This window comes from Homo sapiens, chromosome 12 (assembly GCF_000001405.40).
Source record: "Homo sapiens chromosome 12, GRCh38.p14 Primary Assembly".
Taxonomy (NCBI): Eukaryota; Metazoa; Chordata; class Mammalia; order Primates; family Hominidae; genus Homo; species Homo sapiens.
In genome coordinates this window covers 56,763,139-56,789,619 of record NC_000012.12, presented here as the reverse complement: position 1 = coordinate 56,789,619, position 26,481 = coordinate 56,763,139, and the positions used below count along the sequence as shown (strand labels likewise).

The 26,481-nt window shown below is 45.4% G+C and overlaps 1 protein-coding gene across 6 annotated transcripts; it reads right to left on the bottom strand.

Annotated features, from left to right (window-relative positions):
* Nucleotides 1–1,829: 1,829 nt before the first annotated feature.
* Nucleotides 1,830–26,296, bottom strand: HSD17B6 (hydroxysteroid 17-beta dehydrogenase 6). 6 transcript variants are annotated; one of them, XM_024449251.2, is made up of 6 exons: nucleotides 26,198–26,296; nucleotides 15,455–15,786; nucleotides 7,388–7,646; nucleotides 4,604–4,767; nucleotides 3,606–3,718; nucleotides 1,830–2,495 (listed from the first exon to the last, which is right to left on the bottom strand). In XM_024449251.2, the coding sequence occupies exons 2-5, from the start codon at nucleotides 15,765–15,767 to the stop codon at nucleotides 3,675–3,677; spliced, it is 780 nt and encodes a 259-aa protein (XP_024305019.1). In that variant the 5' UTR covers nucleotides 15,768–15,786; nucleotides 26,198–26,296; the 3' UTR covers nucleotides 1,830–2,495; nucleotides 3,606–3,674. The 6 variants fall into 6 exon arrangements, with proteins under 6 accessions (XP_024305019.1, XP_005269265.1, XP_006719735.1 ...); XM_005269208.2 differs by lacking the exon at nucleotides 3,606–3,718; XM_006719672.2 differs by lacking the exon at nucleotides 3,606–3,718 and having other exon boundaries at nucleotides 15,455–15,781.
* Nucleotides 26,297–26,481: the final 185 nt, after the last annotated feature.

Here is a 26,481-nt window from a genome sequence, read left to right as displayed (position 1 = left end):
GAAGTGAGGAGCCCCTCTGCCCGGCCAGCCGTCCCCTCCGGGAGGGAGGTGAGGGGGGTCAGCCCCCCGCCCGGCCAGCCGTCCCGTCCGGGAGGGAGGTGGGGGGGGTCAGCCCCCCCCCGCCCGGCCAGCCGCCCCGTCCGGGAGGGAGGAGGAGGGCTCAGCCCCCCGCCCGTCCAGCCGCCCCGTCCGGGAGGGAGGTGGGGGGGTCAGCCCCCCGCCCGGCCAGCCGTCCTGTCCGGGAGGGAGGTGGGGGGGGTTCAGCCCCCCGCCCGGCTGGCCGCCCCATCCGGGAGGGAGGTGGGGGGCTCAGCTCCCCGCCCGGCCAGCTGCCCCATCCGGGAGGTGAGGGGCACCTCTGCCCAGCCGCCCCTACTGGGAAGTGAGGAGCCCCTCTGCCCGGCCAGCCGCCCCGTCCGGGAGGGAGGTGGGGGGCTCAGCCCCCTGCCCGGCCAGCCGCCCCGTCCGGGAGGGAGGTGGGGGGCTCAGGCCCCCGCCTGGCCAGCCGCCCCGTCCAGGAGGGAGGTGGGGGGGTCAGCCCCCCGCCCGGCCGCCCCGTCCGGGAGGTGAGGGGCGCCTCTGCCCGGCCGCCCCTACTGGGAAGTGAGGAGCCCCTCTGCCCGGCCACCACCCCGTCTGGGAGGTGTACCCAACAGCTCATTGAGAACGGGCCATGATGACGATGGCGGTTTTGTGGAATAGAAAAGGGGGAAAGGTGGGGAAAAGATTGAGAAATCGGATGGTTGCCGTGTCTGTGTAGAAAGAAGTAGACATGGGAGACTTTTCATTTTGTTCTGTACTAAGAAAAATTCTTCTGCCTTGGGATCCTGTTGATCTATGACCTTACCCCCAACCCTGTGCTCTCTGAAACATGTGCTGTGTCCACTCAGGGTTAAATGGATTAAGGGCGGTGCAAGATGTGCTTTGTTAAACAGATGCTTGAAGGCAGCATGCTCGTTAAGAGTCATCACCACTCCCTAATCTCAAGTACCCAGGGACACAAACACTGCAGAAGGCCGCAGGGTCCTCTGCCTAGGAAAACCAGAGACCTTTGTTCACTTGTTTATCTGCTGACCTTCCCTCCACTATTGTCCTATGACCCTGCCAAATCCCCATCTGCGAGAAACACCCAAGAATGATCAATTAGAAAAAAAAAAAAAAAAGAAAGCAGTGAGAGGGAAATCTCCAGGGACAGGAGGGTTGGGGGGTTGAAATAGACTGAATAAGTCTATAATCTATTTAATTATTTAGAGAACACTACTGGTAGTGACAGATCTGAGAGAACAACCAAAAAAAGGTTAAGGTAAATAAAAACCTTTGCAAGCAAAAAAGCAAGGCAATAATTAACTCCAAGAAAAACAAAAAATGTTACTATAAAAGAAAAATACTTGATTAAATAGTTAATAATATTCACATACTTAATTATATAAACACTATTCATTTAACCAGAAATGTGATAAAATTATATTCAAACTATAAGGATAAAGGAAATGGGCAGGAAAGTGATGTAAAAAAAAGCCAAATTTGCACCATAACAGAAAGTCAATTGAGAATAGCTAAAATTAATAAAAAATAACAGTATATCATTTAGAAGTTCAGAGATAAATACCAGAAGAAATAGCTAAAAGTTGAGACCATTTGCCTCTGACGAGCAGCAATGAAGGATGAGGATAAGGGCAAGGATTGCCATTTTTCATTTTAAGCTTTTGAATATTAATTGAATTTTTAGCTATATATGTATAACATTATTTTGATTTAAAATTTAAAAAGTAATTTCTTTTTAAAAAAGGAAGAAATATATTGGGGAAAAAAGACTGCTGACAAAAAGAGAAGAGAAAGAAAAATCAAATATTTATTAAAAGTACCATAATACAGACCCATTTCAAGTAAGGACAAACACACCAACATATTTCTTAGTAGTTTCCTCACAATAGATTATTAAAGCATAGAACAATTATTCATATTCATAAAGAAATGACTTCAAAATAGGTTAAATTGTTTTCCATCTACTCTGTTTAATAAGGCAAGAACAAATGATTCACTTTAGACAAATAGTCTCATCAAAAAAGGGCTAAAATAGTAAAGATTCATCACCTAAAGTGGTAAGCTTTGGATATCTGAAATATAAACATGTTAGTACTCTGATGATGCCAGATAAATGAATTTAGGCAAGAAAACACATTGTTACAAAAAGCCTGGGTTCTAAATCAGGATTACTGAGACACTAACAATTTCAGATTTTTGCCTTCATTCCAAGAAGCACCAACCCAGTTTTCTTTAGACTGCCTGGGCTGGTTTGGGCCAAGATCTAGTCAAAATGTAGTCTGCCAGTGATGTAGGTAAATAAGATAGAGGGATGAAGAAAAATTTAGCATCCCAGCCAGCTGAATATCGAGTTCGCGGATGCACCGATGTCAGAGCATGTTCCATGCAGTCAGTGACCAGGTTCAGGTTTGTGCTACAATTCAACAGCCCTTCCTTCATGATATTGTAAACTGTATACAAAAAAAGAAATGGTGGTCAACAATCTTATTCCTTATATTTTTAAGATCATGCAGTCACAGAAGTCTCACCACATCTAATTTCTACAAAATAGAATGATCTAGAATGTGCATCCCAATATGATAGCCACTAGCCACATGTAGCTATTGAGCACTTAAACAATAGCTAATGCACTGGAATAAAAACTAAATTTTGGATTTTATTTAATTTTAATTTTAAAACTCAATCATTTTTCTTTTTTTGTTTGGTTGTTTTTTGGGGTTTCTTTTGAGACAGGGTCTTGCTCTGTCACCCAGGTTGGAGTGTAGTGGTACAATCTCAGCTCACTGCAACCTCTGCCTCCCAGGCTCGTGATCCTCCCTCCTCAGCTTCCCACATAGCTGGGACTACAGGTTCGCATCCCCATGCCCAGCTAATTTTGTTTATTTTTTGTAGACACAAGGTCTCACTATGTTGCCCAGGCTGGTCTTGAATTCCTGGGCTCAAGCGATCCTCCCACATCAGCCTCCCAAAGTGCTGGAATTATAGGTGTGAGGCACCACGCCTGGCCTCAAAACTCAATTCTGATGGCTGGGTGCAGTGGCTCATGCCTGTAATCCCAGCACTTTGGGAGGCCGAGGTGGGTGGATAATTTGGGGTCAGGAGTTCGAGACCGGCATGGCCAACATGGTGAAACCCCATGTCTACTAAAAATACAAAAATTAGCCAGGCTTGGTGGTGCATGCCTGTAGTCCCAGTTACTCAGGAAGCTGAGACAAGAGAATTGCTTGAACCCGGGAGGCAGAGGTTGCAGTGAGCCAAGATCACGCCACTGCACTCCAGCCTGGGTGACAGAGCGAGACTCTGTCTCAAAAAAAAAAAAAAAAAACACACAACTTAATTCTGTTACTAGAGGATTTTTAAATAGGTTTAGAACAACACAGATATGGGAATATACTTTTTCAACTGGAAATTTTTTTAACATTATTGAGATATTCATATATCATAAAATTCAGCCATTTAAAGTGTACAAATCAATAATTTTTAGTATATTCAGAGTTGTGCAATCATCATCACAATCTACATTTAGAACATTTTCATCATCCCAAAAAGAAACCCTGTACCTATTAGAAGTCATTCCCATTTTTCACCGCTGCTGCTACCTCCTCCTCCAGGTCTTCAGAATAATATTCTTATAGGAAATTGACAAATCCCACTCCCACAAAGCTCCTATCACCTGAACAAGAGAAATATAGCCTCAGGGAATGGCCCATAGGGCTCTGCAAAGACTTATCCTCACTGACTTACCTCTTCCCACCTACATGCTTTCTCCTGTCACATTAAGACACATAGTTTGTGGACAAGCCCTTTGTTATCAAAAGGTAAACAATGATGAAGACTGCACTTTAGTTGAGCAGACATCTCACACCAGCCCTGCAATGCTACCAAGGGGCACACCCTCTCAAGGGTCCATGCCTCTAAGTATGTAATACCTCCTAGTGCTCAGGTGCCCTGGCCCACAGAGGACAAGGCAGGGAAGAGCCTGGCCCCAGGCCGCCTATATGTCCCCCTCCTCAACCATGATAGTCATCAGACCAAGCCAACCATGAGACCACTGGGACCTTCCTGACTTCCTTCTGTTCTGGGAATGCTTTATTTAAGGAGCTTTGTCCTGAGAGGATCTGCCAATCATTGTCCACCAACCCTCTTTTCCCCTTCTCATGCAAGGGTACTGATATGGTTTGGCTTTGTGTCCCCACCCAACTCATCTTGAATTATAGTCCCATAATCTCCACATGTCGTGGGAGGGACCTGGTGGGAGGTACTGAATCATGGGGGTGGTTCCCATATGCTGTTCTTTTAGTAGTGAGTTCTCACAAGATCTGATGGTTTCATAAGGGGCTTTCCTCTGCTTGCACTCATTCCCTCTCCTGCCATCCTGTGAAGAGGTGCCTTCTGCCATGATTATAAGTTTCCTGAGGACTCCCCAGCCATGCAGAACTGTGAGTCAATTAAACCTCTTTTCTTTATAAATTACCCAGTCTCAGTTATTTCTTCATAGCAGCATGAGAATGGACTAATACAGGGTACCCATTATCCCTATCAAAAGAAAAAAGCTTACGGGCATCAAAATACTGCTGTCCATAGGTCTCCTTAATATGCTTGGGGGCTTCTTTCCAACTTTGCTTCATTCGCTCTAAGGACTGTGTCATGTTTGTCATTCCCGTTCTGAAGTAGCCAGGTTCAACTATGCTGATTTTCACCCCAAAATGTTGAATCTCACGCCTGAAATAAAACCCCACAAGTTATGATTAAAGACCACCACCATTTCAATGCTTTCAGGAAGGAAAAGCAAAACAAAAAAGATTATAAAATACCTTTACTGAATATTTTAAAGAATAAAGAAATCTCCCTCTCCCTCTCCCTCTCCCTCGTCTCCCTCTCCCCACGGTCTCCCTCTCCCTCTCTTTCCATGGTCTCCCTCTGATGCCGAGCGGAAGCTGGACTGTACTGCTGCCATCTCGGCTCACTGCAACCTCCCTGCCTGATTCTCCTGCCTCAGCCTGCCAAGTGCCTGCGATTGCAGGCATGCACCACCATGCCTGACTGGTTTTCGTATTTTTTTGGTGGAGACGGGGTTTCACTGTGTTGGCCGGGCCGGTCTCCAGCTCCTAACCGCGAGTGATCCGCCAGCCTTGGCCTCCCAAGGTGCCGGGATTGCAGACGGAGTCTCGTTCACTCAGTGCTCAATGGTGCCCAGGCTGGAGTGCAGTGGCGTGATCTCGGCTCGCTACAACCTCCACCTCCCAGCCGCCTGCCTTGGCCTCCCAAAATGCCGAGATTGCAGCCTCTGCCCGGCTGCCACCCCGTCTGGGAAGTGAGGAGCGTCTCTGCCTGGCCACCCATCATCTGGGATGTGAGGAGCCCCTCTGCCTGGCTGCCCAGTCTGGAAAGTGAGGAGCGTCTCTGCCCAGCCGCCATCCCATCTAGGAAGTGAGGAGCACCTCTTCCCGGCCGCCATCCCATCTAGGAAGTGAGGAGCGTCTCTGCCCGGCTGCCCATCGTCTGAGATGTGGGGAGCGCCTCTGCCCCGCCACCCCGTCTGGGATGTGAGGAGCGCCTCGGCCCAGCCGCGACCCCGTCTGGGAGGTGAGGAGCATCTCTGCCCGGCTGCCCCGTCTGAGAAGTGAGGAGACCCTCCGCCTGGCAACCGCCCCGTTTGAGAAGTGAGGAGCCCCTCCACCTGGCTGCCACCCCGTCTGGGAAGTGAGGAGCGTCTCCGCCCGGCAGCCACCCCCTCCGGGAGGGAGGTGGGGGTCAGCCCCCGCCCGGCCAGCCGCCCCGTCCGGGAGGTGAGGGGTGCCTCTGCCCGGCCGCCCCTACTGGGAAGTGAGGAGCCCCTCTGCCCGGCCAGCCGTCCCGTCCGGGAGGGAGGTGAGGGGGGTCAGCCCCCCGCCCGGCCAGCCGTCCCGTCCGAGAGGGAGGTGGGGGGGGTCAGCCCCCCACCCGGCCAGCCGCTCCGTCCGGGAGGGAGGTGGGGGGGTCAGCCCCCGCCCGGCCAGCCGTCCTGTCCGGGAGGGAGGTGGGGGGGGTTCAGCCCCCCGCCCGGCCGGCCGCCCCATCCGGGAGGGAGGTGGGGGGCTCAGCTCCCCGCCCGGCCAGCTGCCCCATCCGGGAGGTGAGGGGCACCTCTGCCCGGCCGCCCCTACTGGGAAGTGAGGAGCCCCTCTGCCCGGCCAGCCGCCCCGTCCGGGAGGGAGGTGGGGGGCTCAGCCCCCTGCCCGGCCAGCCGCCCCGTCCGGGAGGGAGGTGGGGGGCTCAGCCCCCCGCCTGGCCAGCCGCCCCGTCCGGGAGGGAGGTGGGGGGGTCAGCCCCCCGCCCGGCCACCCCGTCCGGGAGGTGAGGGGCGCCTCTGCCCGGCCGCCCCTACTGGGAAGTGAGGAGCCCCTCTGCCCGGCCACCACCCCGTCTGGGAGGTGTACCCAACAGCTCATTGAGAACGGGCCATGATGACGATGGCGGTTTTGTGGAATAGAAAAGGGGGCAAGGTGGGGAAAAGATTGAGAAATCGGATGGTTGCCGTGTCTGTGTAGAAAGAAGTAGACATGGGAGACTTTTCATTTTGTTCTGTACTAAGAAAAATTCTTCTGCCTTGGGATCCTGTTGATCTGTGACCTTAACCCCAACCCTGTGCTCTCTGAAACATGTGCTGTGTCCACTCAGGGTTAAATGGATTAAGGGCGGTGCAAGATGTGCTTTGTTAAACAGATGCTTGAAGGCAGCATGCTCGTTAAGAGTCATCACCACTCCCTAATCTCAAGTACCCAGGGACACAAACACTCTGCCTAGGAAAACCAGAGACCTTTGTTCACTTGTTTGTCTGCTGACCTTCCCCCCACTAGTGTCCTATGACCCTGCCAAATCCCCCTCTGCGAGAAACACCCAAGAATGATCAATAAAAAAAAAAAAAAAAAAAATTAGCTGGGCATGGCAGCGTGCACCCATAGTCCCAGCTACCAGGGAAGTTGAGGTGGAAGGATCGTTTGAGCCCAGGAGGTTGAGGCTGCAATGAACCATGATGATCACACAATTGCACTCCAGCTTGAGCAACAGAGTGAGACCCTGTCTCAAAAATAAAAAATAAATATTGAGAATTGAAGTGTGACATAGTGGTAGAAGACAAAGACCTGGGTCAAAACACAGTTCGGCCAAATTCTGGCTATGGTAGGTGAACTCTGGGACAGATGAGAAAATTTGAGCCTGTTAGCTATATAAAATAGACTAGTAATAATATCTATGTATCAAGATTTGAGGAGTGATGAAATAAGATAGGCGAAAGCAACTAGCACAATGCCTAAGACATATTTCAGTGCTCAATAGCTGTTTTTGTTTTAACTTAAGTTACCTCAGAATATCTGAAAAGGCTTCCACTCCATACTTGGAGACACAGTAGCCTCCTACAAAGAAAGCAACTCTTCCCAGAATGCTGGAGACATTGACAATTCTTCCCCGTGCTCTCCTCACCAAAGGAAGCATGCTCAAGGTCACCTGGATCACACCAATGAGGTTCACTTTGAGCATATTCATAGAGTCCTCAGTGTTCAGCCACTCACATAAGGTAATTGGTGTAAGAATGCCTGCATTGTTCACCAGTCCCCAGAGTCCTAAAACAATTAAAAGTCATATCAGGAGTTTGGTTTCAGGCAAAAATACTCTATTTTGAACTTTGGTGGGGAAAGAATCACTCTTGAGGAATCATAACCACTAACCACCCCCATGAGAGTTTGCAGCCCAAATGATATAACATACAAGTTTGCTAAATATAACTTTTTTTTTGAGACAAAGTCTCGCCCTATCGCCAGGCTGGAGTGCAGTGGCACGATCTCAGCTCACTGCAAACTCTGCCTCCCGGGTTCAAGCAATTCTCCTGCCCTCAGCCTCCCAAGTAGCTGGGACTACAGGCACGCACCACCACACCCAGCCAATGTTTGTATTTTTAGTAGAGATGGGGTTTCACCATGTTGGCTAGGATGGTCTCCATCTCTTGACCTCGTGATCCACCCGCCTCAGCCTCCCAAAGTACTGGGATTACAGGCGTGAGCCACCACGCCCAGCCTGCTAAATATAATTTTTAAATAAAAGGATTGAAAATATTCATTAAAATACTATAAAATTGATCAAGCAGATTTGAGAAAGAACCAAATAAAACTTCAGAAATAAAAGATACAACTATTGAAATTTTAAAATTTGTTAGACAGGTTTAATAGTAGATAGACATAGTGGAAGAAAGAAAGTAGCAAACTGGAAGACAGTAAAGAAAAATATACAGACTATGGCACAAATATAAAGAGATTAAAAACATGAAAGAAAAGGGAAGCAAGACCAAAGTAAAAACATGTAACATATGTCTAATAAGATCCAGAAATAAGGGAGGGAAATGGAATAAAGGCAGTATTTGAAGTAATGATGGCTAAGAATTTTCCAGAACTGATAATGAACAGATTAAAGAAGCCCCCCTGTTTGAAATGTTTGCTTTTTGGTGTCGTAAAGAAATAGCACTTGAACATAAATTTAATTTTTTTAGTAAGGCCATTTTTTTCACTTTTTGCGGAAAGGGTATACTTGCCAGCAGATTTGCCATGAGAGTATACTGAACAAAGGAGACAGGGTCATTTATAACCTGACATGTCTATTTTATTGTTGTGTCTGGTTTTTACTGACTGCAGCAGGACCTCACATTTTATATTTGTCTCGATTGGCTAGCAACTTAGAATTTTTTTTTTTTTTTTTTTTTTTTGAGACGGAGTCTCGCCCAGGCTGGAGTGCAGTGGCGGGATCTCCACTCACTGCAAGCTCCACCCCCCGGGTTCACCCCATTCTCCTGCCTTAGCCTCCTGAGTAGCTGGGACTACAGACGCCCGGCTAATTTTTTTGGTATTTTTAGTAGAGACGGGGGTTTCACCGTGTTCGCCAGGATGGTCTCGATCTCCTGACCTCGTGATCTGCCCGCCTCGGCCTCCCAAAGTGCTGGGATTACAGATGTGAGCCACGCACCCGGCCTCACTTAGAACTTTTTAAAAGAGGCAAAGGCAGAGGAGAACAAAGGAAGGAGGAAGTAACTTGTGGAATGTTGAAAAAGGTAAAAACACCTTCAAATAAGGAAGAGGAACAGGCTATGACCTAATGCTTGTTTGGACCAGTATAAGCACGCCAGGGCAAATATTTAGGTTAAATTGTGGGAGCTAAGAACATAAAGTACATTGATTTCTTTATTACAGCTAGCAGATATTTAAGAATGTTAGTACAGGTCTTTGAATAAATTATGTTTTTAAGAGAAGTCACTATTTATTCCCAATCAGATGGGGAGGAAAGTCTTTGAGGAGGAACCTCCACTTTACTTTTTACACCCCCCAAAAAATAAATCCCAAGCAGTATAAACAGAGAAATCCATACCTAAACACACCAAAATAAAGATCAAAGAAAAAATAAAATCAAAGAAGAGAATATCCTTAAATAGCCAGAAAGGAAAGACAGATTATTTTCAAAGGAAAAACAATTAGGCTAACAACTGACTTATCAAGACATGAACAACAGGAGACAGAAGACTGGAATGGTGTCTTCAATGTGCCAAGAGAAAGTAATTATTAACATAGACTAGCCTATCTGCAAAATTATCTTTCAAGAATGAGGGTAATTAGACATTTTAATAAATTTTTTTTTAAAAAAAAGATTTTGCCCCAGCATCTTCTATAATTCTTAGGCATATATTCGGTAACGAAGAAAGCAATTTTAGATGGAAAATTCAAGAAGGAATAATGAGCAAAAAAAAAAAAAAAGGTAAAAAGAGGATAAATCTAAACAAACATTGCATATTGGAGAGCCAAAAAACAGAACTGAAATACACAGCAGCAAGAGCATGTATGTCAGGAAGGATGACTGAAATGTGAGTGTTCTGAGGGCCTTGGATTACTCAGGAGAAAGGTAAAGATGTTAATTTTACATTTGATAAACCACATATGCACTTAAAATTTCTACTAGGGAAACAGAAATAGAGAATATTATAGTACTTTCAATTTAGTAGTGGAAAAAGTGGAATAAAAATTCAATCAATTCAAAAGAGCATAAAGGAAACAGGAAAAAATGGGACAAATAAAAAGCACAAAATAAGATGAAAGAAATAAATCCAAACATAATAATTAAGGCCAGGCTCAGTGGCTCATGCCTGTAATCCCAACACTTTGGGAAGCTGAGGCATTAAGATCACTTGAGACCAGGAGTTTGAGACCAGCCTGGGCAATGCAGTGAGACCCACTCTACAAAACTTTTTTATTTTAAGTTAGCTAAGTGTGGTGGTGCACACCTGAAATCCTAGATACTCAGGAGGCTGAGGTGGGAGGATGGCTTGAGTCCAGGAATTCGACATTACAGTGAGCTGATCGTGGCACTACACTCCAACCTGGATGACAGAGTGAGACTTTGCCTCTAAAAAAAAATAAAATAATAATAATAAAGTAGTATAGATGAAAGAAATGTTCTACTAAAAAAAAAAATTGTCAGATTGGATTAGTTTTTATATCAGCTATATGCTACTTACAAGAGGCTCACATAAAATACAGAGACACAGAAAAGTTGAAAGTATAAGGATTAAAAAAGACTCCAAGGTGGCCGGGCGCGGTGGCTCACGCGTGTAATCCCAGCACTTCGGCAGGCCAAGACGAGCGGATCCCGAGGTCAGGAAATCGAGAGCATCCTGGCAAACACGGTGAAACCCCGTCTCCACTAAAAATACAAAAAAATTAGCCGGGCCTGATGGCGGACGCCTGTAGACCCAGCTACTTGTAAGGCTGAGGCAGGAGAATGGCGTGAACCCAGTAGGCGGAGCTTGCCGTGAGCCGAGATTGCGCCACTGCACTCCAGCCTGGGCGACTGAGTGAGACTCCGTCTCAAAAAAAAAAAAAAAAAAGAAAAAGACTCCAAGGTAAAAAGTCTTTGTAACTGAAGGGATAGTAACATTATAAACTGAGAGAAGGACTAGAAAGAAAAGTAGAATTGGTGAAGAAAGGCCGGGCGCAGTGGCTCATGCCTGTAATCCCAGCACTTTGGGAGGCCGAGGCGGGCGGATCACCTGAGGTCACCAGCCTGGCCAACATGGTGAAACCCCGTCTCTACTAAAAATACAAAAATTAGACGGGCATGGTGGTGTGTGCCTGTAATCCCAGCTACCTAGGAGGCTGAGGCAGCAGAATCGCTGGAACTCGGGAAGCAGAGGCTGCAGTGAGCTGAGATCGCGCCACTGCACTCCAGCCTGGGTGACACAGCAAGACTCTATCTCCAAGAAAGAAAAAACAAAAAAGAATTGGTGAAGAGGTGAGAGGAAAACAAAGACTCCTTTAGATTTTGTGAGTTTCAGGCACTAGTAGAATTTCCAGATGGAGAAATGCGGCAAGTAGTTGGAAATTCAAATGTGAGGAGTAAGAAACCAAGGGCACAGATAAAAAGGGTAATAGACAAAAGTATGAGTATAGAGGATTCATTCAGCATTTATTGAGCCCTTAACATGTACCAGGCAAGGTGCCAGAAGTTGGAAATATAAAAATGAGTAAGAGAGGCCCATATCTTCAAGGAGCTCACAGTCTAACAGATGGGAAAACAATAACAATACAATAGAAATAAACGGGTATGCACAGCAAAGAGACTATAACTACCCATAACTTCTGACTCTGCCTGGGGGAGTTAAGAACATCCTCAGACAAGAAGCAATATTTTATTATTTTTTTAAATTGAGATGGTATCTCACTGTGTTGCCCAGGCTGGTGTTGAACTCCTGGGCTCAAGCAATCCTCCCACCCCGGCCTCCCAAAGTGCTGGAAGGAAGTAATATTTTAAAATACATTTTAGATTTTCAAAATTTTTTTAGTCAAATCAGTAAATTTTCAAGTTTAAAGTAAATTGTTTTTTAAAAAATTTACACTTTGGGCCAGGTGCAGTGCCTCACGCCTGTAATCCCAGCACTTTGGGAGGCCAAGACAGGCGGATCACCTGAGGTCAGGAGTTCGAGACCAGTCTGACCAACATGGAGAAACCCAGCTCTACTAAAAATACAAAATTAGCAGGGTATGGTGGCGGGCGCCTGTAATCCCAGCTACTTGGGAGGCTGAGGCAGGAGAATCGCTTGAACCTGGGAGGCGGAGTTTGCAGTGAGCGGAGATCATGCCGTTGCACGCCAGCCGGGGCAACAAGAGCAAAACTCCATTTCCAAAAAAAAAAAAAAATTTACACTTTGGAAGGCCAAGGCAAGTGGTTGGCTTGAGCCCAGGAGTCTGAGACCAACATGGGCAACATGGAGAAACCTCATGTCTACAAAAAATACAAAAATTAGCCAGGCATGGTGGTGCACCCCTGTAGTCCCAGCTACTCTAGTGGCTATTCACAAGTGCTATCGTAGCCCACTGTAGCCTCAAACTCCTGCTCAAGCAATGTTCCCACCTCAGCCTCTCAAGTAGCTGGAACTACAGATGTGTAGCCACTACACCCAGCCAAAAGAAGCAATTTCATTGCTACTTTGCAACTCCTAGAGTGAGGAGTTATTTAGGAGATCCAATTACCAGAATCTACTGAATCATAAAACCAAGGGAGAAGGAGAAGAAGGTAATCAAAGAGGAGTTGAATAATATCTAGACAAAATAGAACTTAAAAAGAGAATTTATTCATAATTGCCAAAAACTGAAAACAACCAAGATGTCCTTCAATAGGTGAATGATAAACTGTGGTACATACATACAATGGAATACTATGCAGCGAGAAAAAGAAATGAGCTGTCAGGCTTGACGCAGTAGCTCATACCTGTAATTCCAGCATTTTGGGAGGCTGAGGCAAGAGGATCACTTGAGCCCAGAAGTTCAGTGCTGCAGTGAGCTATTATTGCACCGCTGCACTTCAACCTGGGCAACAGAGTAAGACCTCCATCTCAACAAAACAAAACAAACAAACAAAAAAACAGAAATGAGCTATGAAGCCATGAAAAGACATGGAGAACAGGTGTGGTGGCTCATGCCTGTAATCCCAACACTGGGAAGCCAAGGTTGGAGGATCAGTTGAGCCCAGGAGTTCAAGACCAGCCTGGGTGACATGGTGAGATGACGTCTCTAAAAGAAAAAAAATTTTTAATTAGCCAGGCATGGTGGTGTGTACCTGTACTCCAGCTACTTGGGAGGCTGAGGTGGGAGGATCGCTTGAACCAAGGAGAGTGAGGCTGCAGTGGGCCATGATCATTCCACTGCACTCAGGCCTGGGCAACAGAGCAAGATCCTGTCTCAAAAAAAAAAAAAAAAAAGGCAAGACATGAAGGAATCTTAAATGCATACTGCTAAGTGAAAGAAGCCAGTCTAAAAGACTACATATAACATTATTCCAGCCGGGCGCGATGGCTCACGCCTGTAATCCTAACATTTTGGAAGGCCAAGGCGGGCAGATCACCTGAGGTCAGGAGTTCGAGGCAAGCCTGGCCAACATGGTGAAAACCCATCTCTACTAAAAATATAAAAATTAGCCCGGTATGGTGGTGCATGCTTGTAGTGCCAGCTACTTGGGAGGCTGAGAAAGGCGAATCGCTTGAAGCCGGGAGGTGGAGGTTGCAGTGAGCCGAGATTATGCCATTGCACTCCAACCTGTGTGACAAGAGTGAAATTCTGTCTCAAAAAAATATGATTCCAACTATATGACATCTGGAAATGGAAAAACTATGGAGACAGTAAAAAGAGCAGTGGTTGCCAGGAATGTGGGGAGTGATGAATATGTAAAGCACGAGGGACTTTTAGGGAACTGAAACTATTCTGTGTGATACAATAATGGTGGCTACTTGTCATTACACATTTGTTCAAACCCACAGAACTATATAATACAAAGTGAACCCTAATGTAAACTATGGACTTTAGTTAACGATAACATATCAACATTGGTTCATCAATTGTAACAACTCTGTCTCAAAAAAAAAAGGGAAAATTGTTGAGGGGGTATATAGGAACTCTGTACTTTCTGTTCAATTTTCTATAAACCTAAAATTTCTCTAAGAAATAGTGTGTTGATTTTTAAATATAATGAAATTTTAAAACATTTTTTAAAGAAGACCAAAGATTGACTTCAAGAAATGCCTATATTTTAAGTAGCAGCCAAGATAATCAGATTCTTAAGAACATCTTAGCCTGGGCAATATACCAAGACCGTGTTTCTGCTAAAAATAAAAATAAAAAAAAATTAGCCAGGCATGGTGGCAACCGCTTCTAATCCCAGCTAATTGAAAGGGTGAGGCAGGAAGATTGCTTGAGCCCAGGAGATCAAGGCTGCAGTGAGCTATGATCATGCCACTGTACCCCAACTCCTCAAATATAAAGAATTATGTTTATAAATACTCTACTTCCAATATGAGATAATAGCTTCAAATCTATTGAGCTTATTTTTCAACAACAAAATAAACATTGTTAAGGAAATGAAACGCCACAAAAGACCTCAACAGTCCTTCAAATGACGAGGCCAGCCTTCTAAGCTCAGCTTTGATACACACAGTCAGCCCTTCATATCCATGGATTCAATCAATTGTGGATAGAAAACACAATTTTTAATTTGCATCTGTACTGAACATATACAGACTTTTTTCCTTGTCATTATTCCCTAAACCAGGGGTCTCCAGTGCCTGGGCCATAGACTGGTACCAGCCCATGGCCTGTTAGAAACCAGGCCACACAGCAGGAGGTGAGCAGCAGACAAGCAAGCAAAGCTTCATCTGTATTTACAGCCACTCCCCATCACAGGCATTACTGCCTGAGCTCCGCCTCCTGTCAGGTCAGTGGCAGCAGTAGATTCTCACAGGAGCACTAACCCTATTGTGAACTGCACATGCCAGGGATATATCCTATGCACTCCTGTTGAGAATCTAATGCCTGATGATCTGTCACTGTCTCTTATCACCCCCAGATGGGACCATGTAGATACAGGAAAACAAGCTCAGGGCTCCAACTGATTCTACATCATGGTGAGTTGTATAATTATTTCATTATATATTACAATGTAATAATATAATGAAGTGCACAATAAATGCAATGCACTTGAATCATCCCAAAACCATCCCCACTCCCTGTCCATGGAAAAACTGTCTTCCACAAAACCGGTCCCTGGTGCCAAAAAGGCTGGGGACGGCTGCCCTAAACAATACAGTATAACTACTATTTACATATCATTTACAAAGTATTTAGTATTTTATGTAACCCAGGCATGATTTAAAGTATCCATACCTTAAAGGATGTGCATAGGTTATAACCAAATACTGCACTATTTTATATAAGGGATTTGAGCATCCTCGGATTTTAGTATCCACAAGCAGTCCTTGAACCAATCCCCAGGAGACACCAAGGAACAACTGTATATATAACCTTAGCATCTTCATGCTAAGTAAATAAAAGGAGAAAATATTTCATACCTCTGTCCCCCACATGCTCCTTCACCCACTGAGTAGCTGCAGCGATGCTCTCCATCTTGGTAACATCCAGGGTCACCGTCTCCAGCCTGTCAGACGTCTGGCCCCTCAGCTGCTCGGCCCCCTTCTCCGTCAGACACGCAGCCAGCACTCTCAAGCCTCGTGCATCCAGCTGTCTGGCCAGCAGGTTCCCAAAGCCCGAGTCACAGCCCGTGATAAAGACATACTTGTCTTGGAGGTGGCTCACCACCTGCCTCTCCCGGTACCAGTGCAGAAGGTAGTACAGGCCCACGAAGGCCGCCAGGTAGAGCCACATAGTGAGGGTGCTTCCTTCTCTTTCAATAGAAAGAAAACATTTTATTCCTTCCTTATTATTTAACCAATATATCTATTCAGTATTTGCCATGTGCCAGGCATTGCACTAGGTGATAGGGACTCTTTATTGATTAATACTTAGTCCTACCCTCAAGGGGCCACAGTCTAGAGAGGGAAGTCAGTGAGGTAACCAAACAAATCCAATGCAGTGTGAAAGGTGCCATAACAGAAGTATACACACAGTCTACAAAGGAAGATGACCGATAGCCTAGCACAGAAGGAATGATTTTGGTACTACTTCCTACCAAATAGGATAAGTAAGTTCAAAAAGTGGATAAGGATGACAACATTCCAGGCAGTAACAATGTGTACATGAAGGGAGTCGTGAGCAGCACAGAACTTCTTGAGACCTATAAACAATTCTGCATGAGTGCAGAGCAGAACATACATAAGAAGAGACTGGAGATGAGGTAGTGAAGGGCCAAATCATGAAAGGCCTTGTAAGCCACACTACGGAATCTGGATGTTATCCTGTGGACAGAGTATGCTACTAGAAGACATTAAACAGAGTATGCTACTAGAGTCAGGTGGCCAGATTAAGTTTTAGGAAGATTTGTCTCACAATGGCAGTGGAGGATAGATGAAACAGGTGTGGTGAAGGCAGTGAGATCCATTAGGAGATCCAATAGTTTGGGTGAGTTATTGCAGCCAAAGCAATTTGTAAACCTAGACCAATCAGAAGCATTGTTGAAATGAGTGTTCACAGATGCCTATGTTTCTATATGAAATTCTGGAGCAAAGTCCACCATTTTTTAGTAATCTATACATGTTGGCTGAACTAACATAATTCATAACAACATAGGTAGAGGTCAAATATGGGTATGGGCCCGCTAGCATCATAAGGCCTATACCACAACGCCTGCATGAGGCTAGTCTATGCAATTCAAACTCCTTAGTTTGACATGAATGTCCCCAGCACTCTGGCTACTTAGGCTTCTCTCTTGCATCCTACTCTTTAGCCAAAACAAACAACTTTCAGTCCCCTGCAAAGCACAGGCTTTTTACGCCTCTGCATACACTTCTTTCTACTGGAAAGAAGTAGCCCTCATCTACTTGGCAAATAACACTCTTTTTTTTTTCTTTTTTTTTTTTTTTTGAGACAGAGTTTCACTCTTTTTGCCCAGGCTGGAGTGCAATGGCGCAATCTCAGCTCACTGCAACCTCCGCCTCCTGGGTTCAAGTGATTCTCCTTGCCTCAGCCTCCCGAGTAGCTGGGATTACAGGCACGTGCCACCAAGCCGGGCTAATTTTGTATTTTTAGTAGGGAGAGAGTTTTTTACCATGTTGGCCAGGCTAGTCGTGAACTCCTGACCTCAGGTGATCCACCCACCTTGGCCTCCCAAAATGCTGGGATTACAGGCATGAGCCACCACACCCAGCCATAACACTCATCTTTTAAGTCTCAGCCTAATCATCACTTTCATTCAGCAAACATTAATTCAACAACTACTTGAGTCAGACACAGTGTTAGGCACTGATACACAAGAGTGAACAATACATAGTCCATTTTTCATTGAATTCACAGTCTCATTATGAAGACTGACAACAATGCATTATAACAGAAGTAAAAACAGGAGGCTGCTGGAACACTCAGGAGAGGCTTCTAAGGCAGTTTAGAGAGGTCTGAGAAGCTTCCTAGAGAGAATAAAATATAAGTTGAGATCTACAGGTGTACTAGTCCGTTTTCACACAGCTATAAAGATACCACCCGAGACTGGGTAATTTATAAAGAAAAGAGGTTTAATTGATTCACAGTTCCACATGGCTGGGGAGGTCTCAGGAAAATTACAATCATGGTAGAAGGGGAAGCAAACACATGATGGCAGGAAAGCAAAAGCAAGCAAGAGAGGAACTACCAAACGCTTATAAAACCATCAGCTCTCATGAGAACTCAACATGGGGGAAACCACCCCCATGATCCAATCACCTCCCACCAGGTTCCTCCCTAAACACCTAGGAATTACAATTCAAGATATGATTTGGGTAGCGACACAAAGCCAAACCATATCAAAAGGATAATTAAAAAATAATAGCTAGGCCAGGCACACTGGCACATGCCTGTAATCTCAGCATGTTGGGAGGCCAAGGCAGGCAGATCACCTGAGGTCAGGAGTTTGAGATCAGCCTGGTCAACATGGCGAAACCGCATCTCTACAAAAATACAAAAATTAGCCAGGCATGATTGTGGGCGCCTGTAATCCCAGCTACTTGGGAGGCTGAGGCAGGAGAATCGCTTGAACCCGGGAGGTGGAGGTTGCAGTGAGCCGAGATCATGCCATTGCATTCCAGCCTGGGTGACAGAGCGAGATTCTGCCCATCTCAAAAAAAAAAAAAAAAAAAAAAAATTGCAACCCTTGCCGAGCACTTGCTGTGTATCAGGCTCTGTTCTAAGATGTCACATATATTAACTTTTTGAATTCTCACAAGAACCCTACAAGACAGGTCCCATCATTATTCCTCTGTGTCAGTTCAGATACCAAGACAAAATTAGACATGCAAGAGATTATGGGGGAAACACCCTCAGAGGACAAAGGGGGAAGGCACAGGAATAGGTGGTAATGCAGATCTGACACCTCGGGAAGGAGAGGGGAACAGAAGGAGGAGAAGATAGGAAGAGCTTTAGACTGTAGTAGAGCCCCAAGAAAGTCTCAGCCAGGCCCATGAGCCTGAGCAAAGACTGCCACTGGAGAAGTTCCACACTGGGCTGAACTGGTCCAGCTCCAGTACTGCCATCCTTCTGGTCATTGGCTGACCAGTGCCCAAGAGGAGCGTGCCTCAGTGTAAATACCACAGCAGATCGGAGGGTGCCACAACTGGAGGCTGGAAGTCAACCTCACTCCTCATAGCAGATTTTCTTGAGTGATCTGAGCAATGCACCTCAATGGCTGCCACACTGTTTCATAGGTGAGCACTGAGAGATTACATACAGTACTAGACAGAGGGGACAAAAAATGGTCCAGGCAAGAGACTTTCCTGCCCTGATTTAACCTGCCCCATGGTCTAACAGAATTGACTATACCCTCCTTAGTGTCCCCATTGTGGCCTGGGTTTATCATGATGCCTGCTGTACTTCATTGCACTGCTCTTCCCCATTTTTAGACTATAAGGCCCTTGAGAGCCCAGGTTACATATTAGTCTGCACCTGGCCCAGTGAATGGCACATAGCAGATACTTAATAAATGTTAGATAAATTAAGTTATACTAAGTAAAAATATCCTGATAAAAAATTGAGAGAAAAAAAGCAGGGAGAATGAGCCAGAGAAGTAGGAAAAAGCAAGCTGATGAAAGCCAAGGAAAGGGGGGCTTAATGAGGATCAGCAATGCAACCAGGAGGTCTGCTGGGTAATAGGAGGGCACTGGTGCTCTTAACGGGAAGACTCAGACAGTGAAGGGCACAGAAGCCAATCTTCAGTGGGCTGCTGCATGAATTGGAGGGCAGGAAGTGGAGCCGAGTGGAGACTCTTTTTCAAAAGCCTGGTCTGGGAAGGAGAGGAGAGAAGGCAGTAAGTAGCGAGAGGGCAACTTAGGGTGTAGGCAAGTAAAGTGGAAGGAGACAGTGAAAGGGAGAAAACAGTGGAGAGAGGCATATATTGCTCCTCCCTCCCCCACCATCTTCTCTTTCTCTCCTTTTCCCCTCTTCCCTCTGTCTCTCTCCTTCCTTCTCTGAAGCCCTTTGCCTCTCTCCAATCTGAGAGCTCTGTGTTCTCTAGCCAGCTGCCTCTGTTCTGCCTAAGTGGCATTCCCTGGTGCACTACAGTAACACAGAGAGCTTCAACCTGACTGTTTATTGACTAAAAGGTAATTTTCTGTTGCCAGTCAAAGATGAAAACGTATTTCCCCCATTAGAGAGAAGCTTGGCCCTCACAGTTTCCCCGGGCATTACTATTCAGCCATCGCATGCCTAGCAGCAAGAAGACCTGCAGAAGAGATACACCTGGCGGAATCCCAAACCCTAGGCCAAACCTGAATGTGCCTCGAATATTTCAAATGTCCAAATACCCGAAGTGGCGTGGCCTGCTTGCTTTTACAAACCATTCATCTGCAAAAGCTGTGCAATTACTTTACGTTTTTGCCTTTGACTCAAATTATTTATACACAGTACTTAAGCTGCTATTTCTTGATTTACCAATTTTTGACATTCTCAATTAACTTCCTGCTATGGTAAATAAGAATTCAGCTTTCTTACATCATATTGTCAGTCTCTTCCTTTCTCATCTACACTATGCTATCTGGTTAATTTTATTTAATGAGTTTTGAGGTCGAGCCTAGAAAACACCTTCATAATCACACATGCATAGGTTAAGAACTTCCACTGTTTATTTCAGGTCTGATCCCCATCTTGGGCTTCATCATTGCTTGAAGCTACTCTCCCACAAAGATCTTGAAAAGCTAGGCCAGGCACGGTGGCTCACGCCTGTAATCCCAGCACTTTGGGAAGCTGAGGCAGGCAGATCACCTGAGGTCAGGAGTTCGAGACCAGCCTGGGCAACATGACTAAGCCCCATCTCTACTAAAAATACAAAAATTAGCTGAGTGTGGTGGCAGTGCCTGTAGTCCCAGCTACTTGGGAGGCGGAGGCACAAGAATCGCTTAAACCTGGGAGGCAGAGGTTGCAGTAAGCCAAGATCACGCCACTGCACTCCAGCTTAAGTGACAGAGTGAGACTCTGCCTCAAAAAAAAAAAAAAAAACCTTGAAAAGCTGAAACTGCCCTCTCTGCACAGCCCCATCCTATCTTTGGGGCTCTTCCCCTCCCCCCACTCCCCTCTACTTCTTTCTTCCTGCTCTGCCTTCCTTTTCCTCAGTCTCTCTCTATTACTGCAATCCTCTCACAGTTTCATTTGCCTCCTTATTCAGCACAGGTCTCATAGTTGGCCATTTTAGGGGTGCTTCACTAGCACCCCAAAGCCTTTACCATCCATGTTCTCTAGCTGCCAGCTGCCAAGTGGTGCTAGAGAAAGACCAGAAAACAAACTTTTATACAACAAATCAATGTTATCCTATCTCAGCTGCGCCCCCTCCCCCCCGCCCACCGCCAATATAAGGCAAACCTTCTGTTTGCCTCCATTTGACTCCTCCCTTATTATTTCGCAACAACACCTGTTCCAAATCTTTACTAGCCTTCAAAATTTCCCAACCTCATGTTTACCTAGCTCTCCTTCCACAGATGAGCATACACGTTGCTTCCCTGCCAAAATCCAGATCTGCTCAACCTGGACACTCTAATTCCTACCCACAACATTTTGCCTGTCATCTCAGGGGGTTCCAGGGCCCAGTGAGGCTACCTCTGCTCTAAATTTCTCTGTATTGTCTTCTATCCTCTTTCTTCTGCCTTTCATCCTCCCTAAGACCATCCTAACCTGCCACCCCTTTAATAACCATCCTCTCTCTTCCCCATATGGCCAAAATATTCAAAGGGCAAGCACAGGCCCTCTATTTTCTTGCCACCCACGAGCTCCTTGCACTTCACCTTCCATTCCCATCACTCTCTGGAAACTCTCTCACAGCTCACCAAGGACCTATTAGCAGACAATTCCCAAGGCTTCCTCTCTCTTCTCCTCAGACCTCACTGCAATATTTAGCACATTCTTTTTTCTTATGATTTTATCTGATTCTTAGATCCTAACCTGGCCTTCAGTGAAGAAGAAGAAGATTGCTTTCAGATCGTGCCATGCTCTCATTGGATTCTGTCTGTGACTCCCTGTCACCCACAGGATAAAGTCAGAACTCCTCAGCTTGACACACGATAATAATAGTGAACAGTTATAGAGAACTTTCCTTGCCAGGCACTGTGTGAAACCATATATATATATACACAATATACACACACACACACACATGGTTTCACACATATATATGTGTGTGTGTGTATATTGTATACGTGTGTGTATACATTGTATATATATGTGTATATACGTGTATATATACACGTATACACACACATATATTTTTATATATACACATATATACACACATATATATTATATATACACACATATATATTATATATACATAATATACACAATATATACACATATATATACGTATATATAATACATATATATTATATATGTGTGTATATATGTGTATATATAATATACCCTCTATTGTGTATATATAATATATACACTATATATATAATATATATAATATATTAATATAATATATATGTTATATATTAATATATGTATGTGTATATATATAATATATATACACAATAGAGGGTATATGCAATTATTTTGTTTTTGTTTTTTTTTTGTTTTCGTTTTGTTTTGTTTTGAGAGGGAGTCTCGCTCTGTCCCCGGGCTGGAGTGCAGTAGCGCGATCTCGGCTCACTGCAAGCTCTGCCTCCCAGGTTCACGCCATTCTCCTGCCTCAGCCTCCCGAGTAGCTGGGACTACAGGCGCCTGCCACCACGCCCGGCTAATTTTTTTTTTTTATTTTTTAGTGGAGACAGAGTTTCACCGTGTTAGGCAGGATGGTCTCGATCTCCTGACCTCGTGATCCTCCCACCTCAGCCTCCCAAAGTGCTGGGATTACAGGCGTGAGCCACCGCGCCTGGCAGTGTATGCAATTATTATGCCCACTTTTCACATGAGGAAACTGAAGCACAGATTAAGGCAAGAATTAAGTGACTTTTCCAAGGTGAAACAGAGTGAATAGTAGAGACAGGATCAACTCCAGAGTGTTCACCTGCAGAAGCCTTGCATCTAACCACTGCACTACACTGCCTTTCCCTTTCAAGACCAGCCTGGGCAACATGACTAAGCCCTATCTCTACTAAAAATACAAAAATTAGCTGATTTTTCATGGTCAGGCCATGGCCTACGTTTGCCCCTTGGCTCCTGTCTCTCACAGCCAGAAGCCATAGTTTAATCCTTCTGACTACCCAATTTGAAGCACACGCTTCTCCGTTCACTTCTGAGATGCTCTACTCCCGTTCTCCTACAGCAGTCACAGACAGCGTCCCTTCCCCTTCACCCCTCCCAGCTCCTCCTCTCCCTTCTCTACCCTAAATGCAAGGACTCCTCAATGCCTCTTGATTGGCCTATCACAGAAGCTTTCTCACTAACCCCACAGTGTCACTCTCACTTCCCCTCTCATCCACATAGGGCTGTCTGGTTAATTTCCCTAAAGCGCAGCTCTGCCGATGTCACTCCCTGAATAGCATTCAACCTACTGAAAATCTAAATCTAAAACCTTAGTTGTACAAGGCCCTCCATGATTGGATCTTGACCTTTTCTCCCCCTCCTCTTTCTCACACTGCCTATGTTCCATCAAAACCAAAGAGCTTTAAAATGAAGGAAGTATGATTTGCTGAGCCTTGGAGGACAGATGGTATTTGACATGCAGAGATTGGGAACCAGGGCATTTCAGGCAAAGGGAATAGTGAGAGCAAAGACCTGGAACATGGCAAGTACAGAGCACTAATAAATGGAGATACCAACAAGACTACTCTGGATGATTCCGACTACCTTTTGTCACACGCGTCCCAGTGAAGAGATCACCAAACAGGCTTTGTGTGAGCAACAAGGCTGTTTATTTCACCTGGGTGCAGGCGGGCTGAGTCCGAAAAGAGAGTCAGCAAAGGGAGATGGGGTGGGGTCATTTTATAGGATTTGGGTGGGTAGCGGAAAATTACATTTAAAGGGGGTTTTTCTCTTGCAGGCAGGGGTGGGGGTCATAAGGTGCTCAGTGGGGGAGCTTCTGAGCCAGGAGAAGGAATTTCACGAAGTTAATCACTCAGTTAATGTGGGGCAGGAACAAATCACAGTGGTGGAATGTCATCAGTTGAGGCTATTTTCACTTCTTTTGTGGATCTTCAGTTGCTTCAGGCCATCTGGATGTATACATGCAGGTCACAGGGGATGTGATGGCTTAGCTTGGGCTCAGAGGCCTGACACCTTTCCTTTTCTTTCTTTCCAAGAACCTCTCTGCATGAGCTTTCCTGCCCCAACCCTGATTTTGTGGATAGTATAGAATCATGAGGCTGGGCACAGTGGCTCACACTTGTAATCCCAATACTTTAGAAGGCTGAGGTAGGCGAATTCCTTGAGGAGTTCGAGACCAGCCTGAGCAACATGGCAAAATCCCATCTCTACAAAAAATACAAAAACTAGGCAGGCATGGTGGGGAGTGCCTGTAGTCCCAGCTACTCTGGAGGCTGACACGGTGGGGGGAGGGGGTGGGAATCACTTTAGCCTGGGAGGTCGAGGTTGCAGTGAGCCATGATTGCACTACCGCACTCTATCCTGGGCAACAGAGCAACACCCTGTTTGGAAAAATTAATAAATAGATAATAAGAAAAAAAAGGATTGGTTTTTTGTGTGTGTGTTTTTGTTTTTGTTGTTGTTTGTTTTGAGACGGAATCTTGCTCTGTCGCCAGGCTGGAGTGCAGTGGCGTGATCTCAGCTCACTGCAACCTCTGCCTCCCAGGTTCCAGCGATCCTCCGGCCTTAGCCTCCTGAGTAGCTGGGACTACAGGCATGCAACACCATGCCCGGCTAATTTTTGTATTTTTTAGTAAAGACAAGGTTTTACCATATTGCCCAGGCTGGTCTCAAACTCCTGACCTCGTGATCCGCCTGCCTCAGCCTCCCAAAGTGCTGGGATTACAGGCGTGAGCCACCGCACCCAGCCTAAAAAAAAATTTTCTTAAATAGAATCATGAGGCCAGGCATGGTGGCTCATGCTTTTAATCCCAGAACTTTGGGATGCGAGGCAGGCAGATCACTTGAGGCCAGGAGTTCAAGACCAGCCTGGCCAACATAGCGAAACCTCGTCTCTACTAAAAATACAAAAATTAGTCAGGTGTGATGGCGGGCGCCTGGAATCCCAGCTACTCAGGAGGCTGAGGCAGGAGAATAGCTTGAACCTGGGAGGCAGAGGCCGCAATGAGCTGAGATCATGCCACTGCACTCCAGCCTGGAAGACAGAGTGAGACTCTCTCTCAAAAGAAAAAAATAAAAAATAGAATCATGAGCATAGACTCTGAGGCCAGATGGCCTGGGTTCAAAATCAGGCTTCGAGATTTACTTGTTCTGCAGCCTTGAGTAAGTGAACTGGCCTCTGTTCCTGTGTGCTCGTGTTCAAAATGGGAAAAAGAAACCTCAGTGATTTATTGAGAGGGTTAAATAAGTTAATGCATGTAAAGCAATACATAATTGTTAGATATTAGTATTATTTTGGGTAGTTGTTGTCTTATTATTGCCATATTGCCTTTCTCCCTGAGCCCTGTCTCTTCCCCTGAGCTTTCATAGAAGGAAACTGTGCCATGGGAATGTGCATTATCTGGTGCATTACACCACCACTTTTCTACAGTATGCATAACTCCACATATTGCAACATCCTTAATCATTTCTATCAGCTCTTTATCACTATTTTGGGCCATGCTCGTGCACCTTAACTTCCTTCTGTCTCAAGCGAGGACCTCTCTCTCTGCAATATAATACATGGCAAAGTAAGAAGTAGCCTTTATTCCCTTCTTTGGTTAAAATCTTCAGACATGGGTTTGTCTATAAACTCCAGTCAGCTTAGTCACTGATCCTAAGAGCAAGTCTGTAAACAGCACATGGCTCCCTGAACTGATCCACCATGACATTCTTTTCTTCCCACTTGGGCATACAGGCTAAGTATTCCTCAAGTCAATAATTGTTTTTTCTTTTCTTTTTGATTTTCTTTTTTTTTTCTTTTTTTCTTTCTTCTTTTTTTTTTTTTTTTTTTTTTGAGACACGGTCTCACTCTGTCATGTAGGCTGGAGTGCAGTGGTGCAATCACAGCTCACTGTAGCCTCGACCTCCTGGGCTCAGGTGATCCTCCCACCTCAGCCTCCCAAGTGGCTGGGACCACAGGTGTGCACCACCACACCTAGCTAATTTTTTGTATTTTTTGTAGAGACAGGGTTTCATCATGTTGCCCAGGCTGGTCCCAAACTCCTGAGTTCAAGGGATCCTCACTCCTCAACCTCTCAGAGTTCTGGGATCTTGGCCCAATCACAGAAGGCCCCTTTCCGCTTACCCAAAGTTTCACAAACTTACCCAACAGCTATCAGCATTAACCATTAAAGAGCTTGTTTCCCCCACTGCCGAGAATCCCGTTTTCAGAGGATACCCAGAGTCCCTATTTGTAAGTATGAAATCACTCCCAACTTGTAACCAGTACTCTCCCAAACTTCATGGGAGTAAAGATCAAAAAAGCAGAGCAAGCAATCGTGACAAAATTTCTTTCACGAATCAAAGTTGAAGGATCTTTTAAGATGATAAAAAATCATAATCAAAACCTGTCTCCAAACAGACCATATCCCATATCCCCTACACACACACACACACACACACACACACACACACACACACACACAACCACCCTTACCCACCTACATACCGGACTTGCTTAGGAAGAGTCCAGTCCTAGAGACTTGAAAGGACTTCTTTGCAGACCAGGCAGCAGTCGGCTTCCTCCTGCCCCAACTGCTGCCCACTCCAACCTCTGCATTGCTCTTATAACACCTCCCTCTTGTGGTAAGAGTCCAGGCTGCTTCACTCCCTCATAGGGTTCTCACCAGTGTCATCCTTGATCAGCTGCAGAATCAGATCTGTTACTACCAAAATGAAAAACAGAAAGAAAGAAAAGAGCTGCCCTGACCAGAGAGTCTTGTAT

Bases quoted from the DNA above. Each gene is read 5' to 3' on its own strand.
- HSD17B6 (XM_005269208.2), bottom strand. From the start codon at position 15,767: ATGTGGCTCTACCTGGCGGCCTTCGTGGGCCTGTACTACCTTCTGCAC. The intron at 4,768-7,387 runs GTAACTTAAGTT...GTTTTATTTCAG, and splicing joins GCCTTTTCAGATATTCTGAG to GCGTGAGATTCAACATTTTG. The intron at 2,496-4,603 runs GTAAGCTTTTTT...TTTTGTATACAG, and splicing joins ACAGCAGTATTTTGATGCCC to TTTACAATATCATGAAGGAA.